The sequence below is a fragment of the Homo sapiens genome, chromosome 7, assembly GCF_000001405.40.
Source record: "Homo sapiens chromosome 7, GRCh38.p14 Primary Assembly".
Lineage (NCBI taxonomy): Eukaryota > Metazoa > Chordata > Mammalia > Primates > Hominidae > Homo > Homo sapiens.
In genome coordinates, this window is record NC_000007.14 from 102,384,720 (window position 1) to 102,404,043 (window position 19,324).

At 47.5% G+C, this 19,324-nt stretch overlaps 1 protein-coding gene and 1 long non-coding RNA gene across 2 annotated transcripts in view, besides 4 other annotated features; both read left to right on the forward strand.

Annotated features, from left to right (window-relative positions):
• LOC100630923 (LOC100289561-PRKRIP1 readthrough) overlaps nucleotides 1–19,324 on the forward strand; it is a 62,822-nt gene that overhangs the window by 20,859 nt on the left and 22,639 nt on the right. The window contains 2 exon segments of the long non-coding RNA NR_038967.1: nucleotides 12,901–12,979; nucleotides 14,829–14,929. This is a non-coding gene — a long non-coding RNA (LOC100289561-PRKRIP1 readthrough).
• Nucleotides 11,500–11,579: a silencer, noted in NCBI's record as "silent region_18503". NCBI's record gives its function as "represses an Ori minimal core promoter by ATAC-STARR-seq in GM12878 lymphoblastoid cells {active_cell/tissue: GM12878}" and the evidence as "EXISTENCE:reporter gene assay evidence [ECO:0000049][PMID:35858748]".
• Nucleotides 11,600–11,839: an enhancer, noted in NCBI's record as "active region_26428". NCBI's record gives its function as "activates an Ori minimal core promoter by ATAC-STARR-seq in GM12878 lymphoblastoid cells {active_cell/tissue: GM12878}" and the evidence as "EXISTENCE:reporter gene assay evidence [ECO:0000049][PMID:35858748]".
• Nucleotides 11,600–12,162: a biological region, named in NCBI's record as "OCT4-NANOG-H3K27ac-H3K4me1 hESC enhancer GRCh37_chr7:102036787-102037328".
• Nucleotides 11,621–12,162: an enhancer, noted in NCBI's record as "OCT4-NANOG-H3K27ac-H3K4me1 hESC enhancer chr7:102036787-102037328 (GRCh37/hg19 assembly coordinates)". NCBI's record gives its function as "activates a minimal SCP1, AML or CMV promoter by ChIP-STARR-seq in primed H9 embryonic stem cells {active_cell/tissue: H9 hESC(primed)}" and the evidence as "EXISTENCE:reporter gene assay evidence [ECO:0000049][PMID:30033119]".
• PRKRIP1 (PRKR interacting protein 1) overlaps nucleotides 11,644–19,324 on the forward strand; it is a 30,304-nt gene continuing 22,623 nt past the window's right edge. The window contains exons 1-3 of the mRNA NM_024653.4: nucleotides 11,644–11,818; nucleotides 12,901–12,979; nucleotides 14,829–14,929. Of these exons, the coding sequence (NP_078929.1) occupies nucleotides 11,693–11,818; nucleotides 12,901–12,979; nucleotides 14,829–14,929 (306 nt within the window). The 5' untranslated portion in view covers nucleotides 11,644–11,692. The remainder of the gene's footprint in view (nucleotides 11,819–12,900; nucleotides 12,980–14,828; nucleotides 14,930–19,324) is intronic.

Consider the following 19,324-nt stretch of genomic DNA (forward strand, 5'->3'; position numbering starts at 1 on the left):
AAAAATTAGCCAGGCATGGTGGCGGGCGCCTGTAATCCCAGCTACTCGGGAGGCTGAGGCAGGAGAATCGCTTGAACCGGGGAGGTGGAGGTTGCAGTGAGCCGAGATCACGCCATTGTACACCAGCCTGGGCAACAAGAGTGAAACTCCATTTCCAAAAAAATAGTATCAGCCGGGCATGGTGGCTCTTGCCTGTAATCCCAGCACTTTGGGAGGCCATGGTGGGCAGATCGCTTGAGCCCGGGAGGTTGAGGCTGCAGTGAGCTATAATCGCACCATTGCACTCCAGCCTGGGTGACAGAGAGAGACCCTGTCTCAAAAAAGAAAAGAAAATGTCTACTAAGACCTCCACTCCCTATAATGGCACATTAAGTATCTCCAACCAACCCACTCAGTGAGTAAGATAGGAAAGCTGGTCAAATGTATTTTTTAAAATCTTAAGCCATTGTAATGTTGAGGAGGTAGTGAAGAATGATGAGGCTACAGCCTGGGAGAAGAACAAAAAATCTGGAGAGGTGAGCCCAGCATTTCAAACTACTTTTTCCTGGAGTTGTCTGCCAATTTGGAAGAGGTGGATGAATGTCTAAAAGGCTGAGAAGGCTTTCAACAGCCTTGTTGGGCTAGGGAACAATTATTTGAATACAGGACCTGCCAAGGCAAGGGGCCCTATTAAAGTCTCTGCACTTTGGAGTGAAACCAAAAAAAATGCTGCATCCTAGGAATCAGAAATAGACCAGAAAGCCAGGCACAGTGGCTCACACCCATAATCCCAGCACTTTGGGAGGCCAAGGCGGGCAGATCACTTGAGGTCAGGAGTTCCAGACCAGCCTGGCCAGCATGGTGAAACCCTGTCTCTACTAAAAATACAAAAATTAGCCGGGCATGGTGGTGCACACCTGTTGTCCCAGCTACTTGGGAGGCTGAGGTGTCACAAGAATTCCTTGAACCCAGGAGGCGGAGGTTGCAGTGAGCCGAGATCACACCACTGCACTCCAGCCTAGGTGACAGAACGACACTCTGTCTCAAAAAAGAAAAAAAAATAGAAAAGAAAGAAATAGACCAGCCCTTCTGTGGACTAAAGTCCAGCTTCTAATCATCTCCGTTCCTGAAACTGAATAAAAGTAATCATAGATTCATAGATTGTTGGCACTCTCAAGCGCTAGCAATGTATATCCTGGCAGAAGCCAAGGTAAATTCTCTCCAGAGGCAGTTAATATAATGCTATATTAAAAATAAATATCAAGGTTTAAAGGTTAAAAAAAATTATTCCTCAAGATAAACAGTAACTCTTCACTGTAATAAAAAGTTAAATTCACCAGGAAGATAAAAGAATTCTAAATTTGCATGTACCTAGTAATATTGTCTTAAAATACATAAAGCAAAAATCAACAACTCTATAAGACTAAATAGCTAAACGAAAAATAGTGGGAAATTTTAACATACTTTTCAACAGAAACTGATAAAATAGTTAGACAAATAATTAGTAAGGATATAGAAGATTTGAACAACTTAATCTATGGACATATATGGTCACAGTGACATGATGAAGCTGGCTTGTATCCTCTCATGAGAAACAATTTTTAAAATTTCAAGACTTTTGTGAACCAGCTGATATCGCGCTAGTAGCTTGACATTGACCACTATGGGAATATTTATATAATAGTATGATAGGCAAATGCTACCAATCACAGTTTTATCCCCTTCCCCTCTGAAGCCAGTTAGTTTTTTTACTTTTTCTTTTTTTTTGATAGAGATGGAAGTCTTGCTATATTGCCCAGGCTGATCTTGAACCCCTGGACTCAAGCCATCCTCCTGTCTCAGTCTCTCTAGTAGCTGGGACACCATGTCTGGCCAGTTGTTAAGTTTTGTTTGTTTGTATTTGAGACTGAGTCTCGCTCTATCGCCCAGGCTGGAGTGCAGTGGTGCGATCTCAGCTCACTACAACCTCCATCTCCTGGGTTCAAGCGATTCTCCTGCCTCAGCTTCCCCAGTAGCTGAGAGCACAGACGTGTGCCACCACACCCAGCTAATTTTTTTCTTTTGTTTTTTTTTGTATTTTTAGTAGAGACGGGATTTCGTCATGTTGGCCAGGCTGGCCTTGAACTCCTGACCTCAGGTGATCCACCTGCCTCAGCCTCCCAAAGCGTTGGGATTATAGGCATGTGCCACCGCACCTGGCCATGCTGCATCTTCTTTGCCCTAAATGACCCCTTGGTCTGAAGAGATGACATAGGAGATCCCTTCCCCACAAGTCAGATGCATTTTACAAGCCCTTGAATGATGGTGCTGGCAGAGGTACTGCAGATAGAAAAGGCCAGTCCATTTCTGGTGTAGTACCAATTAGAGTAAGACAAATCAATGCCCCCCTCTGGGATGAAAGGCGGCCAGTGTAATCAACTTACCCCCAAGAGGCTGACTGGGCTCTTCAAAGGATCGCACTGTATCATGGGTCATTCAGTTCAGGCATTCAGTAACAGCAGTAAATATATCAGCCTTGCTGAGAGTGAGCTCACGCCATCGTGCCCATGTGTAGCCTTCAGTCCTGCGCGTGGCCATTCTGCTGATGGACCAATTGCACAATCACTGGAATGGCTTAGGACAGACACTGTGTGACCTCCATAGAGAAGCTATCTTTTTTGTTTTGTTTTTTTGTTTTTTGAGACAAGGGCTCACTCTGTCACCCAAGCTGGAGGGCAGTGGTGTGATAATCACTTTTGGAGGCTGAGGCAGGAGGATCACATGAGCTCAGGGGTTCGAGACCAGCCTGGACAACAGAGCAAGACACCATCTCTACAGAAAATTTAAAAATTAGCCAGGCGTAGGCCGGGCGCGGTGGCTCATGCCTGTAATCCCAGCACTTTGAGAGGCCGAGGCGGGCGGATCACGAGGTCAGGAGATTGAGACCATCCTGGCTAACACGGTGAAACCCCGTCTCTACTGAAAATACAAAAAAATTAGCTGGGCGTGGTGGTGGGCGCCTGTAGTCCCAGCTACTCAGGAGGTTGAGGCAGGAGAATGGCGTGAACCCAGGAGGCAGAGCTTGCAGTGAGCTGAGATTGCGCCACTGTACTCCAGCCTGGGCGACAGCGAGACTCCGTCTCAAAAAAATAAATAAAATAAAATAAAATAAAAATTAGCCAGGCGTGGTGATGTGCTCCTGTAGTCCCAGCTACTCAGGAGGCTGAGTTGGGAGGTTCACTTGAGCCCAGGAGGTTGAGGCTGCAGTGAGTTATGATTGCCCCACTGCCCTCCAGCCTGGATGACACAGCGAGACTCTGTCTCAAAAATAATAATAATAAGTAAACCAATAAATAAAAAGAAGTGTGGGGGCTTCAACCACATTGGCCTCTGGGTTTTCAAAAACCTGTCACCCCAAGCCTTGGCCTTATGGTGAGCAGGGCAGATTTACAGGCCCGAGCTGCCTCAGAGGGCACAAGGAGCTAAAGGCTGAACTCCTCACGAAAGCAACTCAGACAATGGAGGGTTAGCTCCCCTGCAACCTGGCAAATCCACACTGTAAATTAGGTCAAGTTTATTGAGGTACAATGTTCATATGATTAAATCCACCCTTTTAAAGTATATGGTTCAAGTCCAGGCACAGTGGCTCACACCTGTAATCCCAGGACTCTGGTTTGAGACCAGCTTGGGCAACATAGTGAGACCCCCATCTCTACAAAAAAACAAAACCAAAAAATACAAAAATTAGCTGCACATGGTGGTGCGTGCCTGTAGTCCCAGCTACTCGGGAAGCTGAGATGGGAGGATTGCTTGAGGCTGAGAGGCAGAAGTTACAGTGAGCAGAGATCGAGACACTGCACTCCAGTGTGGGCGACAGAGTGAAACTCTGTCTATGAATAAATAAATAGAAGTATATGGTTAAATAAGTTTGATAAATGTGGATGGTTGTGTAGCTGCCACCACAATTCAGATATAGAACATTTTTGTCATCCAAATATTATGCAGAGAGGCCAGGTGCAGTGGATCATGCCTATAATCCCAGTGCTTTGGGATTCTGGGGATAGAAGGATCACTGGAAGCCAGGAGTTTGAGACCAGCCTGGGCAATACAGCAAGACATCATCTCTACAAAAATAATAATAATAATAAAGTAAAAATAGCCAGGTGTGGTGGTGTGCACCAATAGTCCCAGCTATTCAGGAGGCTGTGGCAGGAGGATCACTGAAGCCCAGGAGTTTGAGGCTGCAATGGGCTATGGTCACGCCACTGCGCTCCAGTCTAGGCAACAGAGTGAGACACCATCTCAAAAGAAGGAAAGAAGGTAGGAAGGGAGGAAGGGAGGGAGGGAGGGAGGGAGGGGAAAAAATATCTATTACCCAAGAAAGTTCCCTGAGGCCCTCCCAGGTCAGTCCCGTCCTCCTACTTGGCCCATGGCAACTGCTGATCTGTTTTCCATCCCTATCATTTTGGCTTTTCCAGAACATCAAGTAAATGGAACCATTCAGGTTGTGGCCTTCTATTAATAGATCTGACTTCACTCACTAAACATAATGCATCTGAGATCCATCCACGTTATTGCAAGCCTCAAGAGGTCCTTCCTTCCTTTTTCTTTTTTCTTTTTCTTTTTTTTTTTTTTGAGATGGAGTCTCACTCTGTCGCCCAGGCTGGAGTGCAGTGGCACGAGCTCGGCTCACTGCAAGCTCCGCCTCCCGGGTTCACGCCATTCTCCTGCCTCAGCCTCCTGAATAGCTGGGACTATTGGTGCACACCACCACACCTGGCTAATTTTTTTGTATTTTTAGTAGAGACTGGGTTTCACCCTGTTAGCCAGGATGGTCTTGATCTCCTGACCTCGTGATCTGCCCGCCTCGGCCTCCAAAAGTGCTGGGATTACAGGCATGAGCCACCACACCTGGTCCCCTTTTTTTTTGAGATGGGGTCTCACTGTCGCCCAGGCTGAGTGCAGTGGTATGATATCTTAATCCACCTTCTTAATCCGACTCACTGCAACCTCCGCCTCCTGGGTTCAAGCAATCCTCCTGCCTCAGCCTTCCAAGTACCTGAGATTACAGGTGCACACCACCATGCCCAGCTAATTTTTGTATTTTTAGTAGAGATAGGCTTTCATCTTGTTGGCCAGGCTGGTCTTGAACTCCCGGCCTCAAGTGATCCTCCCTCTTCAGCCTCCTAAAGTGCTGGGATTACAGTCATGAGCCACCGCACTCAGCAAAAGCTCCTTCCTTTTATTGCTAAGTAGTATTTCCCTGTAGGTCTAGATCTCAATTTGATGGACATATGGGTTGTTTCCAGTTTTTGGCAATTATGAATCAAGCTACTGTTTGTATTTGCATACAGGTCAGTCAGTGGACATATATTTTCATTTCTCTAGTTTGAGACCAGCCTGGGTAACGAGAGTGAAACTCTGTCTCAAAAAAAAAAAGAAAAGAAAAGAAAAAAAGAAAAAAGAAAAAAAACCCTGCTGTTTTAGTACTTAAAGTATCAACCACTACTCAAAGAATTGAGATAGGAGTACCCACTCGTCTAGGGTAATCAACCATCCTGGCTTGCCCAAGATTCTCCTGGTTTTAGCACTGAAGGTCCCACTTTCTGGGAAACCCTTCAGTCCTAGGATCAAACTAGGACAAGTGTGGTCACCTATTTTTTTTTTTTTTTTTCAGACAGAGTCTCTCTCTGTCTCCCAGGCTGGAGTGCAGAGGTGCGATTTTGGCTCAGTACAGCCTCCGCCTCCTGGGCTCAAGCAATTCTCCTGCCTCAGCCTCCCGAGTAGGTGGGATTACAGGCAGCTCCCCCCACCCCACACGCCCGGCTAATTTTTTTTGTATTTTTAGTAGAGACGGAGTTTCACCATGTTGGCCAGGCTGGTCTCGAACTCCTGACCTCAGATCATCCACCTGCCTCAGCCTCCCAAAGTGCTGGTATTACAGGCGTGAGCCATGTTATTGAATGTCAGGCTCTGCTGGACACTGCATGTCCAAACGTCATTTTACCCATGTGCCAGCGACAAGGTAGATTCGCTTGTACCAATTTTGCACATAAGGAAACAGCCTTAGAGAGGTTAGGTTGCTTGTGCAAGCCCAGGGTAGGTGGCACCCAGTCTGCCAGTCTGCAACGCACTGGTATCTTCCAGCCAGTAGACCTTGCTCCCTGGGTGCCCAGTTCTGGATCTCAGGAAAGGTGGATTAAGGCTCCTAGTGGCGGGACCTGGGTGGGGATTTGCTGCCCTCTGGTGGCAGAAGGGACATCACCCTGGGTGTGAGACTTGTGGGCATCTGTGAGGCGGCCTTTCATCCCAGGGAGCCGGACCTCAAATCTGACCTCAGCCCCAGGAAGGTGCCACCAGGAAGGTGCCACCTAGGAGGGTGCCACCAGGGTTCCCGCCAGGGTCTGCTGGGGCCCTGTCCCATCTGTGTGAGTCACATAATCACTCAGGCTGTCACAGACCCAGGGCTAGACTGCTGGGTTTGAGTCTGTGTGGCCCTGAGCCAATTGCTTTCTCCTCTGGGCCTCAGTTCCATTTCAGTAGAATCAGGATGATAGCCTGGGCAACATAGCAAGACTCCAGCTCTACCAAATAAATAAATAAATAAATAAATAAATAAATAAATAAATAAAATATTAGGCTGGGCAAGGTGGCTCACGCCTGTAATCCCAGCACTTTGGGAAGCTGAGGCGGGTGGATCACCTGAGATCAGGAGTTCGGGGCCAGCCTGGCCAACATGACGAAACCCTGTCTCTACTAAAAATACAAAAATTAGCCGGGCATGGTGGCGGGTGCCTGTAATCCCAGCTACTCAGGAGGCTGAGGCAGGAGAATCGCTGGAACCTGGGAGGCAGAGGTTGCAGTGAGCCGAGATCGCGCCATTGCACTCCAGCCTGGGTGACAAGAGAGAAACTCCCTCTCAAAAAATAAAAATAAAAAGTTAGCTGAGTGTGGTGGCACCAGCCTGTTGTCATAGCTACTCAGGAGTCCAAGGCTGAAGAATTGCTTGAGGTCAGCCTGGGAAACATAGCAATACCCCATGTCTACAAAAAATGTGAAAAATTAGCTGGGCATAGTGGTACCTGCCTGTAGCCCTAGCTTTTCTGGACACTGAGTCAGGAGGATCCCTTGAGCCCAGGAGTTCGAGGCTGCAGTTAGCTATACTGGCACCACCGCACTCCAGCCTGGTGACAGAGTGAGACCCCGTCTATTGAAAAACATATATCTGCTGATAAATATGTCCACAATTTAGACCAGACTTAGACACTGAAGTTATTACCAGCTCCTTCACACCCACATGCCTTAACTCTCTCTTGCCTTCATGCATTCCTTCACTCCATTCATTCGCTTAACTTTCATCCAGCAGATATCTGCCAAGCACCAGCTCTGTGACAGACACTGAGGCTGGGGGTGCCAGGGAGACCTTTACCAACCGGACAGACACTGCCCCGCACTCCTGGCTCTGTGGCTTTCTGATAGTCCGTGGCCTCACATGTTCATTTATTAAGTGTCCTTTTATTGATTGAGTCTTCATTCTTTCTCTTAATGTCCTTATTCATTCATTCATCCATCACTTGCTCATCTCACTGACACGTCTATTCAGTCTTCATATATGTTTTCATTCCTTTATTCTCCAAGCATCCTGGAAGTACCCACTCTACACCATGCCAGGGTTAGATGCTGGGATTCTGGCCCAGCCCACCACACTGCCAAGCCCATGGGGACACAGATGGTGAGGACATAGTGGTAACTACTTCACCAGTTATTGGGATTCAGAGCTGGGAGAGCACCAAGAAGGGAGCAATTCACTTCCTGGAAGTGAGGGGTGGGAGAGGCAATCTGAGAAGGCTTCTTGGAGGAGGTAGCATTTTGGCCAAGTTGAGAAGCCTGTATGGGAGTTCTCCAAGGAGGAAAAGATGCTTTGTTTTGTAGACAAAAACCTTCGTTCTGTGGAGTGTTTGGAGAAAAGTGAGGTACTGGTTGCTAATGTGTGTGATCCTGGGTGAGTTTGTGTGCATGGCCCCAGCCAGGCCAAGCCCTCCCCAGGTTCCAGTGACAGACCTGGGCCACTAAGGACCCTTAATTCCACCCTGAGCTCCTAGAAAACCACCCACTATTGGGCAGCCAGGAATGACCTTTGGAGAACAAACACTTCACCCTCCAGGTACCATCCACTTGTCCACCTGTTCATCCTCTTGGGGACTCAGTGGGAGGGCGACCCTGTCCCTAGGAGCCCATGTCCCTCCAGCAAATGTTTCTTTTATTTTTATTTTTATTTATTTATTTATTTTGAGACAGAGTCTTGCTCTGTCGCCCAGGCTGGAGTGCAAAGGCGTAATCTTAGCTCACTGCAACCTCTGCCTCCCAGGTTCAAGCAATTCTCCAGCCTCAGCCTCCCGAGTAGCTGGGATTACAGGTGTGCACCACCACGCCTGGCTATTTTTTGTATTTCTAGTAGAGACGGGGTTTCACCATGTTGGCCAGGCTGGTCTCAAACTCCTGACCTCAGGTGATCTGCCCACCTCGGCCTCCCAAAGTGCTGGGATTACAGGCATGAGCCACCACACCAGGTTTTTGTGGTCACGGAATGGTCTTGTGTGATGTTGGTGTCCTGGAAATTACTTTTGTTTGACAAGAGAACACCAAGACCCAGCTGTGAATGTCTGTCCAGCTCCCAGGGAAACAGAACAGGAACTGGACAGAGCTTCTCCTTCACATCCTTTCCCTTTTTCCTTCTTTTGTCCCACTGATCACAAAACCCACACCATTGCCTCGCTGACAATATAGCTGCTAACCCCGAGGCTTTAGTCATACAAAGAAAATAAAGAACGAAACTGTCTCAAAAAAAAAAAAAAAAAAAAAAGAATTCCAGAGACTGGCCTTAGGAGATCCAAATATCAAATGAAGCTTGCGGAGTGTCCCACCTCGGGAAGGAATGCTGAACAATTGATTGACACCCTTGTTGCCACCAGCCAGACTACCAGGTGACTCATTACTTAAGATAACCATCGCAACCAGATATGCGACCTGCATACCCTCAAAACCAGATATGCGACCTGCATACCCTCACGTGCTTTGCCCAGCCCAGCCTGCATACCCTACCCCTGATGTCAATTCCCATGCTTTGCCTAATAAAAAAAATTCCCAGCCAGGCGCAGTGGCTTATGCCTGTAATCCCAGCACTTTGGGAGGCCGAGGCGGGCGAACCATGAGGTCAGGAGATTGAGACCATCCTGGCCAACATGGTGAAACCCTGTCTCTACTAAAAGACAAAAAATTAGCCGGGCGTGGTGGCGTGCACCTGTAGTCCCAGCTACTCGGGAGGCTGAGGCAGGAGAATTGCTTGAACCTGGGAAACGGAGGTGCAGTGAGCTGAGTTCGCACCACTGCACTCCAGCCTGGCGACAGAGCAACACTCTGTCTCACAAAAAAAAAAAAAATTCCCCACTGGCTCTTCCACAAGTCAGCTGGAGGATCCCTTCACTTCTGCTTCCATTGTCTTCCCTGCACTCAAGCACAAGCTCTGAAATAAATGCCTTGTCTGGGAAATCTGCTTGGATCCCTGTTAAGTTTCATTACAAGGGGAGCCAAACAGCCTATGGTCTGTAACACCAAATGTATGTGAGCAACAGCTTTTCTCTTTCTCTTTCTCTCTCTAATTTTTTTTTCTTTTTCTTTTTCTTTTTTTTAGACACAGAGTCTTGCTCTGTCACCCAGGCTGGAGTGCAGTGGCACGATCTTGGCTCACAGCAACCTCCATCTCCCAGTTTCAAGCTATTCTCCTGTCTCAGCCTCCTGAATAGCTGGGATTACAGGCACACACCACCACACCTGGCTAATTTTTGTATTTTTAATAGAGATGGGGTTTCACCATGTTGGCCATGCTGGTCTCAAACTCCTGACTTCAAGTGATCTGCCCATCTCGGCCTCCCAAAACGTTGGGATTACACGTGTGAGCCACCATGCCGGGCCTTTTCTGTTTCTCAATGTCAACTAAACAAAAAATCAGGCTTTTAAAAAATTAAGGTTGGTTTTTTGCAATCTTACTGAGGACTGTAACCAGGGAAAGTCTTTCACAGAGTTTGTTAAACTGCTCCAAAACAGAGTTTCAGCACACATTTATATATTTATATTTATATACAGTTTATATAAAAACATTTATATACAGTTGGTGGTGCCCTGCATGTGCTCAGAAGTTATATCAAGCTGGGCGTGGTGGCTCATGCCTATAATCCCAGCACTTTGGGAGGCTGAGGCGGGTGGATCACCTGATGTCAGGAGTTCGAGACAAGCCTGGCCAACATGGTGAAACTCCATCTCTACTAAAAATACAATAATTAGCCAGGCGTGGTGGCGTGCACCTGTATTCCCAGCTACTCAGGAGACTGAAGCAGGAGGATCACTTGAACCTGGGAGGCAGAGGCTGCAGTCAGCCGAGATTGCATCACTGAGCTCTAGCCTGGGGGACAGAGTGAGACTCTGTCTCAAAAAAAAAAAAAAAAAGTTATATCTAATGTGCTCAGAAGTTAACAATAGAGCAAAATTTCATCAAGGCTGTGTGTGAGGGTATTATCTAGTTACAGATTACAGAGGCTTGGCTGGGCATGGTGACTTAACACCTATAATTTCAGCACTTTCGGAGGCCCAGGCAGGAGGATCGCTTGAGCCCAGGAGTTCAAGACCAGCCTGGGCATCACAGCAACACCTTGTCTCTGCAAAAAATAAAAATAAAAAATTAACTGGGTGTGGTGGCATGCGCCTGTAGTCTCAGCTACTCAGGAGGCTGAGGTGGGAGGAGTGCCTGAACCCGGGAGTTCAAGGCAGCAGTGACCTATGATCGAGCCCCTGCACTCCAGCCTGGGCAACCAAGCGAGACCCTGTCTCTAAAAAAAAAAAAAAAGTTATAGAAGCATAATCATTAATCCCGTCAGAGATTATGTACAGGAAGAGGCAGGGGCTAGGATCATTGAACTTGTCTTTTCTAAAAATGCAGTGTTCAGGCAAGAGAGGTGGAAACCTGTGTTCTCTCTCGCTCTTCCCAGCTTATTGTTCAGGGCGTTATTGGAGAGGGCTGCGCTCAGTCACCGAGTCACGGCCTTTGTGAAATCCTGCTCGCAAGCAGAATGAGCAGACATGGTTCCTTAGGTTTATTACTGTGCCTCACACTACGAGACGGTCATTCATTGGCAGAGGTGTATTTGCGGGGGGCCAGGTATAGAGTAATTCAAGGCGGACAAAGGAGGAATGTCCCAGTCTTCAGGAAGCTCAGTGACATGTTTGCGCTGTCTTATGTAAACAGGAGATTGTCAGAAATGGAGGAGGGGGCACCAGATCCAAGGAAGTGCCCGGACAAAGCCGGGAGGCGAGGAGAGCCGACGGGGAGGAGGTGCCGAGAGCATCAGCGGGGCTGCTCGGTGGCACGAAGACGCCCGCGGGGACTGGAGAGGTCGGCTAGGGCCAGGCTACTCAGGCACGGAGGGCCACCTCCCCTTCAGGGACGTGAGCATCTAGCTGCACTGATTTGTTGTTCAGGAACAGGAAATGAAACCCCGCAGCTTTGAACACAATAACCCACGCCAGCCTCAGGCTCATGAATATTCAGCAGGCTGCTTGCGCCTTGCAACCCCGCCTCCGTTCCCCTCTGCGGAGACTGCGTATGCGTCGCCGGCGCGCGGCTGTGTCGTCATACTTGCGCGCCGACGCCGCCGCTCGCTTGTGAAACTGGAAGGCTGCCATGGCTAGCCCAGCCGCCTCCTCGGTGCGACCACCGAGGCCCAAGAAAGAGCCGCAGACGCTCGTCATCCCCAAGAATGCGGCGGAGGAGCAGAAGCTCAAGCTGGAGCGGCTCATGAAGAACCCGGTGAGACGAGGCCCAGGCTCCACGGCCCGTCCGAGGCCCACCCCCTTCCTCTGCAGCGCTTCAGGGTTCCCGCAGGTCCACCTTCCCCGCCTCCAAACTCAGAAACTCAGTATCCGACCCTCCAAGAGCAGTCTTTGGGGAGGAGGAGGAGAAGGAGGCTGTCCCGGAGATAGTGAACTTCCCGTCTGTCCTTGTGTGAGAGCCCAGCTTGAATCAAAGCACGGTGGAGCGGCTTCCCGTGCTCCAAGACCCCTTCTGGTTTAACTTTCTGTGAACAAAAAGCGTTAGACTGAAAAGGTAGAATTTGTGGGTTAGCAAAAGGGTATACTCTAAACAACACTGATCGTTAGAGAGACAGTGGCCGAGACGTTTGGAGCTGGTCACTCCTCTCCCGCTCACACCCCCTCTGGGCCTCGGTCCCCTCAATCATAAAAACAATTGAACGGGAACGTCCTTTATACCTTTAACTAGAAAAGCTTGACTCTTCTTATCTAGTAGTGTTAAAGTTGGCGGTTTCTAGCTGGAAACTATGGCTTAGGTTTTTCAGTTCTGCTCTGGAAAGCGTAGCCCTGGGAAGGTGTGGACTGTGTTATACCCAAGAGTACATAGGATGAAAAAAGCCACGACAGAGGGAAGAACACAAAATCAGCTCTGTGTCCAAGTAGCAAAGCAGTCCTGCTTCATTAGTCAATTAAAATTCTTTGGTCTTAAGAGATGTAACTTGGGCTGGGTGCTGTGGCCCCTGCCTGTAATTTCAGCGCTTTGGGAGGCCAGGCGGGAGGATGGTCCGAGGCCAGGAAGGAGTTCAAGACCAGCCTGGGCAACATAGTGGGTCCCTGTCTTTACAAAAATAAAAAAATTGCCTGGTGTGGTGGTGTACGCCTGAGAGTCCTAACTATTCTGGAGACTGAACCGGGAGGATCACTTGAGCCCAGGAGTTCAAGGCTGCAGTGAGCTCTGATTGCACCACTGCACTCCAGCCTGAGGAACAGAGCAAGAACCTGTCTCTAAAAAAAGAGAGGGAGATATATAATTTTGTCAACAGGTTTATACTTAAATGCTTTCATGTTTAAATGTTGCAGGACAAAGCAGTTCCAATTCCAGAGAAAATGAGTGAATGGGCACCTCGACCTCCCCCAGAATTTGTCCGAGATGTCATGGGTAATGGCTGTGTGTGTGTGTGTGTGTGTGTGTGTGTGTAAATATAATTTTTTAAGGTAGCTATAGGCTGGGCGTGGTGGCTCATGCCTCTAATCCCAGCACTTTGGGAGGCCGAGGCGGGCGGATCATGAGGTCAGGAGATCGAGACCATCCTGGCTAACACGGTGAAACCCCGTCTCTACTAAAAATACAAAAAAAATTAGCCGGGCGTGGTGGCAGGCACCTGTAGTCCCAGCTACTTGGGAGGCTGAGGCAGGAGAATGGCGTGAACCCAGGAGGCGGAGCTTGCAGTGAGCCGAGATGGCGCCACTGCACTCCATCCTGGGCAACAGAGCGACATTCTGTCTCAAAAAGAAAAAAAAAAGGTAGCTATAAAAATCCTGTAGTTGGTATTTGTTAAATCTCTGATGAGGGGAAATGTGTGTTCACATGTTCGTGTTTTGCTTTTACAATGACGGGGATATAGTTGCTTTTATTTGTTTTTCATTTGACATTGGTAAATTTAGCTTAAGGGCTATAGTTGCTTATGGTTTGGCACTATAGAATTTTCTCCTGCAGTATTGCGGTTTTTTTTGTTTTTGTTTTTGTTTTTGTTTTTCTTTTGGAGACAGAGTCTCACTCTGTCACCCAGGCTGTAGTGCAGTGACACCATCTCGGCTCACTGCAACCTCCGCCTTCCGGGTTCAAGCGATTCTCCTGCCTTAGCCTCCTGAGTAGCTAGGACTACAGGCCCGTGCCACCATGCCTGGCTGATTGTTTTATTTTTAGTAGAGACTGGGTTTCACTATGTTGGCCAGGCTGGTCTTGAACTCCTGACCTCAGGTGATCCGCCCGCCTCAGCCTCCCAAAATGCTAGGATTACAGCTGTGAACCACAGTGCCCGGCCATCTCCTGCATTATTCTTAATAACGCATTGTGGTTTTTTTGTAAATAAAAATAGTTTTATTATTTTGTTGGATCATAAATTAACATATCTACAGGCTTACCATGGAGATGGTGCGGGTTTAGTTCCAGGCAACCTAGTTAAAGTGAATGTCGCAATAAAGGGAATCATGTAAATTCTTTAGTTTCCCACTGCACATACAAGTTTTCTTTATACTCTACTGTAGTTTAATGTGCAATAGCATTATGTCTTTAAAAAGCAACATAGGCCAGGCACGGTGGCTCGTGCCTGTAATCCCAGCACTTTGGGAGGCCGAGACAGGAGAATTGCTCGAGTTTGAGACCAGCCTGGGCAACACAGGAAGACCTCATCTCTACTAAAAATGTAAAAATTAGCCAGGCATAGTGGTGCATGCCTCTGGTCCCAGCTACTTGGGAAGCTGAGGCAGGAGGATGGCTTGAGCCCAGGAGGTTGAGGCTCCAATGAGCTGTGATTGCGCCACTGCCCTCCATCTTGGGTGACAGAGCAAGGCCCTGTCTCAAAAAAAAGAAAAAAGCTGAAGAAAAAACACTTTTACAAAAATATGATTGTTCTACATATACAACTTTGTAAGCACCTTTATTTCATTTAATGTATCATGGATGTCTTTTCAACTCACTAGAAATTTAGCGTGTCAAATGTGAAATCATGGAGGAGGTGAGAAAGTCACTTAACCACAGTCTGCCCCTCCTGATACTGCATTTGAGTGGGATTTTTAGTGACTTTACATTCAACATTCATAGAACAAATAATTCACGACATCTACAATATGCCAGGTACTGGGCCAGTTCTGGATACAGTGGGGAGAAAGGAAGGCATGGTCCCTTCCACGACTTCCACTTTTTGTTTCTTTAGTCACCCTCGATTAAGGGTGACCTGTGTTGGTAACTGAATTTCATCTAGAACTGTGGACTGTTCTGGCTACAGGTTCAAGTGCTGGGGCCGGCAGTGGAGAGTTCCACGTGTACAGACATCTGCGCCGGAGAGAATATCAGCGACAGGACTACATGGATGCCATGGCTGAGAAGGTCAGTGAGCCAGAAGGCTGGCTGAGCCCCCATGTTTGGGCAGTGTGCGTGTACTTTCTTTAGAAAAAAGCATTTGAAGAGGCTGGGCGTGGTGGCTCAGGCCTGTAATCCCAGCACTTTGGAAGGCCGAGGCAGGGGATCACCTGAGGTCGGGAGTTTGAGACCAGCCTGACCAACATGGAGAAACTCTGTCTCTACTAAAAATACAAAATTAGCCAGGTGCATGCTTGTAATCCCAGCTACTCAGGAGGCTGAGGCAGGAGAATCTCTTGAACCCAAGAGATGGAGGTTGCAGTGAGCCAAGATCGTGCCATTGCACTCCAGCCTGGGCAACAAGAGCGAAACTCCATCTCAAAAAAAAAAAAAAAGAGAGAAAAGAAAAGAAAAAAGCGTTTGAGGAAGAATAGATACTGCTAGTTGTGGCTGGTGTGAGGTCTGCCTTCTACGGACAGCACAAAATGCAGAGTCTCTACTAAAAATACAAAACCCCGTCTCTACTAAAAATACAGAAATTAGCTGGGCGTGGTGGTGGGCAACTGTAGTCCCAGCTACTTAGGAGGCTGAGGCAGGAGAATTGCTGGAACGTGGGAGGTGGAGGTTGCAGTGAGCCTAGATTGCACCATTGCATGCCAGCCTGGGCGACAGAGTGAAACTCCATCTCAAAAAAAGGAAAAAAAAAATAACACCAAGAAATAATCATAAAATATTGTAATATTTAGCCATAAAAAGGAACAAACTACTGATCTGTACAGCAACTGGGATGAATCTTTAAACATGGTGAGTAAAAGAAGCCTTGCACGAAAGAGACCATATTGTGTAATTTCATTTATATGACGTTTTAGAGCAGGTACAATTAGTTTGTGTGAGAAAAAAAAACTGGTTATCTGGTTGGGGTCACGGTTGACTGGGAAAAGACGTATGAGGGGACTTTCTGGGGTGATCAAACTGTACACTCGAGATCTGGGCATTTGGTTCTGTGTAGATACTAACTTTATTTATTATTTTGAGATGGAGTTTTGCTCTTGTTGCCCAGGCTGAGAGCAGTGGGGTGATCTTGGCTCACTGCAACCTCCACCTCCCAGTTTCAAGTGGTTCTCCTGCCTCAGCTTCCTGAGTAGCTGGGACTATAGGCACAACCCCCATGCCTGGCTAATTTTTTGTATTTTTAGTAGAGATGGGGTTTCAGTATGTTGGCCAGGCTGGTCTTGAACTCCTGACCTCAAGTGATCCACCTGCCTCGGCCTCCCAAAGTGCTGGGATTACAGGCGTGAGCCACCATGCCCGGCCAGCTATTACTTTAAAAGGAAGAAGAAAAGCATACACAAATATGAAACCCTATTTAATAACGTGCATGCTTGAATGTTCAAGAATGGAACTTCCCGATGTCTGCAGCTTACTTTGAAATGCACCAAAACAAACAAACAAAAAAATGATGAATTAGTGGAGGAATAGATGTATGAGTAGAGCTCTGGAAGGGAGGAATCATAATTTTCCCCATTTTATAGATGAGGAAAATGAGGCTTGGAAACAGGACTGCTGGGAAGACATAATACAGTGCATACCAATAGAGGTATGGATAGATCAATAGGTGTGTGATAAAGAAAATCCAGCACAACAGGAATTGTTGAGTCAAAGAGCAGTGGATATATCTGCTGTATAATTCTTTTAACTTTTCTGTTTGAAATTTTCAAAATAAAACATTAGGGAAAATTTAAACCAAAGAGACAGCCAGGATACAGAAGAAAATATGTAAGAATTTATTGGAATGGCCAAAATTGAGTTAGAAAAAATTCTGCTTTGGGGGGCCAGCCGTGGTGGCTCATGCCTGTAATCCCAGCACTTTAGGAGGCCAAGGTGGGTGGATCACTTGAGGTCAGGATTTCAAGACCAGCCTGGCCAACATGGTGAGACCCCATCTCTACTAAAAATACAAAATTAGCCGGGCGTGGTGGCACATGCCTATAATCCCAGCTACTCGGGAGGCTGAGGCAGGAGAATCGCTTGAACCCAGGAGTTGGAGGTTGCGGTGAGCTGAGATTGCGCCATTACACTCCAGCCTGGGCAACAAGAGTGAAACTCTGTCTCAAAAAAAACAAAAACAAAAATTAACCAGGCGCAGTGGTGCACACCTGTAATCCCAGCTACTTGGGAGGCTGAGGCAGGAGAATCACTTGAACCTGGGAGACGGAAGTTGCAGTGAGCTGAGATTGTGCCACTGCACTCCAGCCTGGGCGACAGAGTGAGACTCCTTCTGAAAAAAGAAGAAGAAAAAATGTCCTGCTCTGGAAACAGAATGGGGTCATTGTTGTGCTGGCTGTCAACTGATACTTGCTTGTCCTGTAGTTTTTCCTGGCCCCTGGGTGTTGGTGGTTCTTCTTGTTTCTGCCATCTTTTGTTGGTAACAGTCTCAATCCTAGTGAGAAGTATTAGACAGTTTTTGTCACAAAATTCTACCAGGTCACTGCAGTGGGTTTGCCTGTCAAAAATAATGCTCTGTGTATAGAAACCATCAAGCTGGGTGCGGCAGCTCACATCAGTAATCCCAGCACTTTGGAAGGCCAAGGTGGGAAGATCACTTGAGCCCAGGAGTTTGAACCCAGGCAACGTGGCAAGACCCCATCTCTACAAAGAATACAAAGACTAGCCAGATGTGGTGGTAGCCACCTGTAGTCCCAGCTGCTTGGGAGGCTGAGGCAGGAGGATCGCTTGAGCCTGGACGGTCAAGGCTGCAGTGAGCTGTGATCACACCCTGTACTCTAGCCTGAGTTAGTGAGCCAGACGCTGTCTCAAAAAGAAAGAAAGGGGGTGGGGGGTGGAGTGAGGGAGGGAGAGAAAGGAAAAGAAACTACTATCAGAAGAAACACTTTTATAAACTATTTTAGAGGGGAGGACATAGAGTAGGTTGCTGTCTCAAACACTATAAATTCGTCTGAAGTTTTTATGTATTGATTCAAGATTCAGAGAAAATACAGAAAAATGTTTCACAAACCTTGGCCTCTATGCAAATGCAAAGATTCTTATTTTGGATGGCAAAAGACAGTCTCTGAGATTTAAAAAAAAGGCAAGCACGTCCTCATTTTTTAGTGACAGATCACCTCCATCAGAGCCCAGTCCCACTCACCCCTGCTTGAGACATTGCCTCTGCCAGGTGCGGCAGCCAGCGGGGGCTCTGTTTAGTTCACTTGCTGGTAAATTTGGCTTCTTCAGCAGCACAGAGTAAGACATTCACGGCTCAGCTTTTTTTTTTTCTCTGAGACAGAGTCTCACTCTGTCACCCAGGCTGGAGTGTAATCTTGGCTTGCTGCAGCCTCTGCCTCCTGGGTTCAAGCAATTCTAGTGTCTCAGCCTCCCGAGTACCTGGGATTACAGGTGCCTGCCACCTGGCCTGGCTAATTTTTGTGTTTTTAGTAGAGACAGGGTTTCACCATGTTGCCCACACTGGTCTCGAACTCTGGACCTCAGGTGATCTGCCCACCTCAGCTTCCCAGTGTGCTGGGATTACAGGAGTGAGCCACCGCACCCGGACTTCACAGCTCAGCTTCTAAGCAAATCAGATCTTTTAGATTTAAGTCATTTGCTTTTTGGTTGTCCAGAAAGTTGATTAATTAAAGTTGATTTCCTTCCTGAAGGAATATTTTCTGCCCTCAGAGAGAGGGCTTGTTTGGTTTGGTTTCTGTGCCACTGTAAGCAGATGCGTACAGCCCTGGCGGTGCAGACCAGCAGAGGTGTTGAAGGCACCTCTTCCTCCTTTGCCGGCTCCTTATTTTTTGCTCCATTGACCTTTATGGCTGTGACTGGAAGAAACAAGAGATGACACTTTGAATCAGTAGATGTCTTTGTAGTTTACAGGTGGTTTTCTATTTTTTTTGAGACAGTCTCCCTCTGCCGCCTAGACTGGTGTGCAGTGGCGCAATTTCCGGTCTCTGCAACCTCTGCCTCTTGGGTTCAAGTGATTCTCCTGTCTCAGCCTCCTGAGTATCAGCCTCCCAAAGTACTGGGATTACAGGCATGAGCCATTGTGCCCAAACCCTTATTTCATTATTGTTCCTAACAGCTCTGGGAGAGAGGAATTACAATTTTCCCCATTTTATAGATGAGTAGACTGAGGCTTGGAGACAGAACTGCTGAGAAGAAGTAATGCAGTACTTACAAATATCTGTGTGGGTGTGGGTGTGTGCTTAGCAGCAGGTCATGGCAGCAGATGGCGTGTGTTACGCTGCTTTAGAATCAGTCATTTGGTGGCTGGGCACAGTGGCCTGTAATCTCAGCACTTTGGGAGGCTGAGGTGGGAGGATCCTTTCAGGCCAGGAATTTAAAACCAGCCTGGACAACATAGCCAGACCTGTCTCTACAAAATAAACATAAAAATTAGCCAGATGTAATGGCATGCACCCA